Raw genomic sequence first — 7,871 nt, forward strand, 5'->3', positions numbered from 1 at the left:
TCAATACATACAACTACATTGATATGTGTCAAAAATACGCTGAGTGAAAAAAGTCACCTATAAAACAGTACATCTAATACTATCTCATTTGTATGACATTCTAGAGGAGACAAAATGTATCCATGGTACTATGAAGCTGATTAGTGGTTGCCTAAGGATGGGGATGGTTGAGATTGAATTCAGTGGGGCACAAGGGAACTTTCTGGAGTGATAGAAATTTTTATACTTTGATCATGGTGTAACTTTATGGGTGTATACAGTTAAGAAACCATTAAAATGTATGGTTAAAGTGGGCCTATTTATTATAAGCAAATAATTTTATAAAAAAACTAAGAGTGACACATAAAAGGAAAGAAAAACTGTTTTTCCATTTCATTATTCCCATATTACCTGAAAGAAAAATCCAGCTTATAAAGGAAACCGTTCACCCTTTCTTCACCTATTTTTCCTAAGAGCTGGTGCATTAAAAAAAAAAAAATGTTGAAACAGCCATGCCCTGAGAGAGTTTTGCTTATTGCATAGAAGAATTGTTATAATATCAAATTAAATTGCATTGCACAAGAAAGAACCACACTTTTGTGTAACTCAAAGAATATTTCCTCAAACCTGAAACAGTTTTCAATGGTTTGCACAGTGAATTAGTTCTGTAGCCCGTATTCATAATAGGAGTTTTACTTATGTTCTACAGCTGATGAAGCTGAAAATGGGCCTTGTGCTTTGGGGGTTTAGTTTCTCATTTGGAATTCATAGAAGAAAGCTTATTTTACCATTTTAAATTTAAAAAAATTAAAAAACAAATATATTATGAGTTCCTGCTTAATGGAATGCTCAGAATGAGTCACATTTATTTGAAACTGTCTCAGCGGGCTCTTTTTATTATTTAAAGAATATACTTATGAAAAGATTCCTAGAAATCCTTTGGTAAAAAAATGCACAATTCATAAAAAGCATATGTATTAAGAGTAAGGACACCGTATTTCTCTTTTCAGACTCACCTAGTAATCCTTTTTTCTTCCTGATTATAAATTTTCCAGGAAGCAAATGACAGTGAATATGTTTGTTCCTTTTACCAGGATGCCAGCTATAATTTTTTTTTCGTTCTGTCTAGTTCTTATCGCTCTCAATGCTAGAAGAATGACAGTGAATGTCAATTTCATTCACCGCTATATGTATCCTTCTGGTTTTCATATTTGGAAAGCTTACTGAAGGAGATAAAATACATGTTGCATTCTAGGTAACTATACCACAGAAAAAAATGACTAGAACATCTCTTGTAAATAACCTTCAGTTGTTGATATCCTTGTGTACTTGGAACCTTTTCAATATTGAAGCCTCACATATTCCTATAAGGCTATCAGAATGCTATTATCATAAAGCGGGAACATACTTAATAGGATATACTACTCTATATTTCTACATGTTATAAAGGTTTCAATATATATTGTAAAGTCTGCTCTTCTATGAAGGTGCACATGTTTGTGTGTGTATGTACACACATACACGCATTTGCATAGATACGTCTTGGCAAAATAATATTCAAACTTAGTCTATTTGCTCTTTTAGAATTCTTATTATTTAGTGTACTTTAGGTTTCTGTATTTAGGGATTATCAGGCATAAAAGATTTAAGACATTTTTAGTTGAAACAATGCAGTTTGTTGGAATCAACTCATCTTCAATCTGCATATGCTACTTCAAACAGGAAATATGTTCTTTAAAGAGTAGAAATAATGTTATGCATAGGGTAGGGAATTGATCACTTTAATAGCCATTTATTGGGCATCTGCTATTGTCAGGCCAAGATAAATATGACATGATGCTCGCTTTCAAAAGGCTAACAAATAAAAGATATGATTGGGATCATATAGAATTCAGGGTTAAACACACACACATACACACACAGGTGTGCACACACACGTGACACTAATAAATTCATAGCATATCAGAATAAGAAGGGGTTTAGAGCATATACAAGCACTTTTTGAACACGTGCAGTGACTGAGAACTTGTTAACTCTTAAAACAGCTCATTCCATCATTGGCCAGCTATCTGTTAGAAAGGATTTTTCTTACATTAAATCAAAACCTATTGCTTTGTCACTTCGACACTATAGTCCTAGTTATTCCCTCAGGGACCATAGGAAATAAATCCCAATATACTTTTTGAGAATATTATTCATTTTAAGCTTTCTCTGTATTGAAATGATAAGAGACTCAACCCTTATTCATACATTCTATCATCACTGAGAGAAATCTTAATATTTATGCTAAGAAAGCATGACATCTTATTTTTAAGTTTTATGAAAAAGTCCATGTTTTTAACTTGCAAATGTCAAATATTGGCTAAACTCAGGACTTAAAGTAGATTTAATGATGGTAAAAGGGGGAAAATACATAGGAAAATAGCATTTATTCACTGTTTACTGGACACTGGAAACTATGATAAAAACTTACTCATATATCACATAGTATCAACAAACAGTCCCATTAAGTGATATTTTATTCCCATTTTCCAGATGAGGAAAGTAAATTTCAAATAGCAGATACTGCTTTTCAATCCATGTGGGTTTGTCTTCTGGCCTCTGCTTGAGATTTTGCTTGCTGCAATACTGACTTTCATGATTCACCTTGCTTCTTTAGTCATCTGGCCTCTCAAACCCTGGCCTAGACGTTTAGCTCCCCCAGTTCTCAGATGCCCTTTCTACCCTTTGCAGAATCATTAGGTTCCTGGATCTGACCAACAAGTAGTGCCTGAATATACTCGTGCTTTCTTTTCACTCTGTTAGTTGTTTTCTTTGCTGTATAGAAGCTTGATGGAACCTTATTTGTCTATTTGTGTTTTTGCTGCCTCTGCTTATGAGGTCATGTCCAAGAAATCATTGCTGAGACCAATGTCATGAAGCTTTTTATTTACGGTTTCTTAGTAGTTTTAAATTTTCAGGGGTTGAGTGTGGTGCTTCATACCTGTAAGCCCAGCACTTTTGGAGGCTGAAGCAGGAGGATTGCTTGAGCCCAAGAGTTCTAGACCCTAGGCAACATAGTGAGACCCCATCTCTATACAAATATTATTTCAAAACTTTTAAAGAAAATAAAGTTTCAGTTCTTAAGTTCAAATGTTTAATCCATTTTGAGTTGATTCTGTATATTGTGTGAGATAAGCACCTAATGTTATTCTTCTGTCTGTGAATATTCAGTTTTCCTCACATCATTTATTGAAGAGACTATGTGTTCTTTCTATTGTGTGCTGTTGGCAACTTCATAGAAAATCAAATAACTCTAAATACATGGATTTATTTCTGGGATTTTTATCCTGTTCCATTTGTTGATGTGTCTGTTTTTATGCCATTACCGTGCTGTACCACTTTTATTTTTATTTTTTATTGATATATAATATTTGTATATATTTATGGTGTACATGTGATGTTTTGTTACATTCATAGTATGTGCAGTGATCAAGTCACGGTATTTATGGTATCCATCATCTTGACTATTTATCCTCTCTGTGTGTTGGAAACATTACTCACCCTACTGTAACGTTAAACTCACCTACTCACTATACTCACACTACTCACCATACTCTACTATTAAACATTAGAATTTATTACTTCTCGCCCTACTCTAATATTAACTATACTCACCCTACTCAAATATTATTCATTCTTGTGTTGCCTTCTATCTCGTTTCTTAGGTCTAGTAGTAATTATTTTCTAAGCGGGAGCTTCAGTTTTTGTTGCATATATATTTAGAATTGTGATATTTTCCTGTTGAACTAGTCCTTTTATCATTATGTAATGTCCCTCTTTGTCTTCTTATTCTGCCATTCTTTATCTTTTAAATGGACCATTTAGGGCATTTACATTCAATGTTAGTATTGAGATGTGAGGTACTGTTTTATTCACTGTGCTATTTCTTGCCTGAATATTTGGATTTTTTTTTCATTGTGTTATTGCTTTATAGATCTTGTGAGATTTATGCTTTAAGGAGGTTCTATTTTCATGTACTTTGAAAATTTGTTTCAAGATTTAGAGCTCCTTTTAGTTGTTCTTATAGTGATGGCTTGGTGGAGGCGAATTTCCTCAGCATTTGTTTGTCTAGAAAAGACTCTATCTTTCCTTCATTTATGAAGCTTAGTTTTCCTGGATACAAAAATTTTGGCTGATAATTGTTTGGTTTAAGGAGGCTAAAAATAGGACACTACTCCCTTCTAGCTTGTAGGGTTTCTGCTTAGAAATCTGTTGTTAATCTGACAGGTATTTCTTTATAGGTTACCTGATGCCTTTTCTTCAGAGCTCTTAGATCATTTCCTTCATCTTGACTTTGGATAACCTGAAGACTATGTGCCTAGGCAATGATCTTTTCACGGTGAATTTCCCAGGTGTTCTTTGAGCTTCTTGTATATGGATGTCTATATCTGTAGCAAGACTGGGGATGTTTTCTTCAATTATTTCCTCAAATAAGTTTTCTGAACTTTAAATTTCTCTTCTTCCTTGGGAACACCAATTATTCTTAGTTTAAATTTTTAACATAATCCCAAACATTTGGAGGCTTCGTTCATTTGTTTTAAATTCTTTTTTCTTTGTCTTTGATGGACTGGGTTATTTCAAATGCCTCGTCTTCACGGTCTGAAGTTCTTTCTTCTGCTTGTTCAATTCTATTGCTGAGACTTTCCAGCACATTTTGCATTTCTTTAAGTGTGTTCTTGATTTCCAGAAGTTGTGATTGTTTTTTATTTACGCTATCTATTTCACTGAAAAAATTTCCTTTCATATCCTGTATCATGCTTTTTGACTCCTTTAAGGTGGACTTCACCATTCTCTGGTGTCTCCTCAATTAGCTTAATAATTGACCTTCTGGATTCTTTTTCTGGCAATTCAGTGATTTTGTCTTGGTTTGGATCCATTGCTGGTGAGCTGGTATAATCTTTTGAAGGTGTTAAAGAACCTTGTTTAGTCATATTACCAGAATTATTTTACTGGTTCCTTCTCATTTTGGTAGACTATGTCAGAGGGAAGATCTGGGACTCAAGTGCTGCTGTTCAGATTCTTTTGTCCCACAAGGTGCTCTCTTAATGTGGTGCTCTCCCCCTTACCCTAGGAATGGGGCTTCCTGAGAGCCAAAATGCAGTTACTGTTTTTGCATTTTTTTTGGTCTAGCCACTCAGCGAAGCTACCGGGCTCCTGGCTGGTACTGGGGAGTGTCTGCAAAGACTCCCGTGATGTGATCCATCTTCAGGTCTTTTAGCCACGGATACCAGCACTTGCTCCTGTGGAGGTAGCAGGGGAGTGAAGTGGACTGTGAGAGGGTTTTTGGTTGTGTTTTTAATACACTGGTTTTGTGTTGGTTGGCCTCTAGCCAGAAGGTGGCGCTTTAGAGCGCATTAGTTGTGGTTCTATAGGGAGGAGGCAAACTTGCCCTAGAAACTCCTTGTTAAGTATTCAGGTTTCTCAGGCTATAGGCAGGGCCTATAAGAGATTACCACCTTTGTTTTTGGCGACTAGGGCCCGTAGAGAAAGACCACCACGTGGGGTCAGGGATAGGCATGTGGGAGGTCAGCCTCTCCTTAGGTGGGGCTTGCTGTGGCTGCTGTGGGGAATGCGGGTGTGGTTCCCAGTCCAATGGAGTTATATTCCCAGGGGGATTATGGCTGCCTCTGCTGAGTCATACAGGTCACCAGGGAAGTAGGGAAAAGCCAGCAGTCACAGGCCTCACTTCACTCCCACTAAGCCTGTAGTCCTAAAGGCCAGTCTCACTCTCACCGTGCCCCTCCAACAGCACCAAGTCTGTTTCCAGGCAGCCAGTGACCAGGGCCAAGAACTTGGCTCAGACAATGAGCCTCCCGATTGAGAAAGCAAGCAGACTCAGTTTTTCGGTGTCTCAGGGAACCTGCAGTGGCAATCCAGTTTCTTCAAAGGGTCTGTGGATTCTCTTGGCTTTCCTGGCAACTTCCTGTGATAGTTCCTGGAGCAAAAGTTCACGATGTGAGTCTCCACACACTGTTCTGTCCATCTGAGCGGGAGCTGCAAGCTAGGCCTGCCTCCTAGTCACCATCTTAATTCTCAGGTATTTCTTTATAGTAATGCAAGAACAGCCTAATACAGAAGATTGGTATGGAGAGTAGGGCATTGCTATAAATATACCTGAAAATGTGAAAGAAGCTTTGGAACTGGGTCATGAGAAGCGGCTGGAAAAATTTGGAGGGCTCAGAAAAATACAGGATGAGGAAGATGAGGGAATATTTGGAACTTCTTAGAAACTGGTTAAATGGTTGTGACTAAAATGCTTATAGTGATGTGGACAATGAAAGCCAGGCTCCTGAGGTCTCAGATGAAAATGAGAAACTTATTGGGAATTAGAGTAAAGGTCATTAATATTATGTCTTAGGTAAATACTTGGCTGCATTCCGTTCATGTCCTAGGGATCTTTAGAAGTTTGAACTTGAGGATGATAATCTAGTGTATCTGGTGGAAGAAATTTCTAAGCAGCCAAGCATTCAAGAGGCAGGAAAACTTGCTAGGACAATAGAAAGCAGAAGTGTTGTTGCAGAGATCCCTCCCTCTATTTTTTGTATGTGTTTTTTTATTTTGGTAAGAAAACATAACATGATACCTACCTTTTAAACAAAGTTTTAAGGGCATTATTCATTACTGTGAAGTATAGGCACAAAGTTGTATGATATATCTCTAGACCTTATTCATCTTGCATAACTGAAACTTTGTATTCATTGAACAGCAAACATTCACTTCTATTTTAAGGTCTGGATTTTCCAGGTAATACAGTAACTAGGCAGAATTCTATTTGCATGCATTGTATTTGAATAAGCTAATAATTTAAACACATCCACTTAGCAAAAATTGATCTATTTGGTCAAATAACCGGCTATTTTGAAAGTAAGTAGGCCAGGCGCAGTGGCTCACGCCTGTAATCCCAGTACTTCGGGAGGCCGAGGCGGGCGGATCACGAGGTCAACAGATCGAGACCATCCTGGCCAACATGGTGAAACCCCGTCTCTACTAAAAATACAGAAATTAGCTGGGCGTTGTGGCGCTTGCCTGTAGTCCCAGCTTCTTGGGAGGCTGAGGCAAGAGCATCGCTTGAACCTGGGAGGCAGAGGTGCAGCGAGCAGAGATCGCGCCATTGCACTCCAGCCTGGTGACAGAGCGAGACTCTGTCTCAACAAAAAAAAAAAAAAAAAAAAGAAAGAAAAAAGAAAAAAAAGAAATTGTCTACCAATATATCCAAGACACACAAACTCAGGCATGTAAACATGTGGCTTTATGACATATAGTGCAACACCATATGGCTCTCAAGCTCCACATCTTCATAGAGCAAACTGAAAGACTTATTCCTTTTTAGCAATTCAGCAGAATTCAGTAATTTTTAAGTCAAACTCAAGTAATGTAAACTCTTTTACTGTCTAATTCAAAGTTTAATAATTTTGGATAAATACTCATCCCTTAATAGTCTCTTTTCTTCCCTTTGTATGCCCTTTTTCCTGATATGTGCAAAGTTTCTAGGTGGTGGTGGTGGGGGCAGTGCTTATGCATCATTCTGGCATAATGAAAATGGTTTCTCATCATTGCTAGATGAAGTTTGAGTTTTCTCCTGCCTCTCAATCTCTGGACGTCACCTTCCATCCTTAGGCACAATGTTCAGCGTACAGTAGGATTTTATTTTTTGAGATGGGTTCTCACTCTGTTACCAAGTTGGAGTGTAATGGCACCATCTCAGCTCGCTGCAACCTCCATCTCCCAGGCTCAAGTGATCCTCCCACCTCAGCCTCCTAAGTATCTCGGACCACAGGGACATGCCACCATGCCCAGCTAATTTTTTGTATATATGGTAGAGATGACATTTCACCACGTTGCCCAGTCTG

General features: G+C 37.6%; 1 annotated feature.

Annotated features, from left to right (window-relative positions):
* Positions 5,058-6,257: an enhancer, noted in NCBI's record as "CDK7 strongly-dependent group 2 enhancer chrX:141891706-141892905 (GRCh37/hg19 assembly coordinates)". NCBI's record gives its function as "activates an origin of replication core promoter dependent on BRD2, BRD4, P300/CBP, MED14 and CDK7 cofactors, with strong dependence on CDK7, by STARR-seq in HCT116 cells {active_cell/tissue: HCT116}" and the evidence as "EXISTENCE:reporter gene assay evidence [ECO:0000049][PMID:35650434]".

The sequence above is a fragment of the Homo sapiens genome, chromosome X (assembly GCF_000001405.40).
Source record: "Homo sapiens chromosome X, GRCh38.p14 Primary Assembly".
In the NCBI taxonomy this organism is placed as follows: domain Eukaryota; kingdom Metazoa; phylum Chordata; class Mammalia; order Primates; family Hominidae; genus Homo; species Homo sapiens.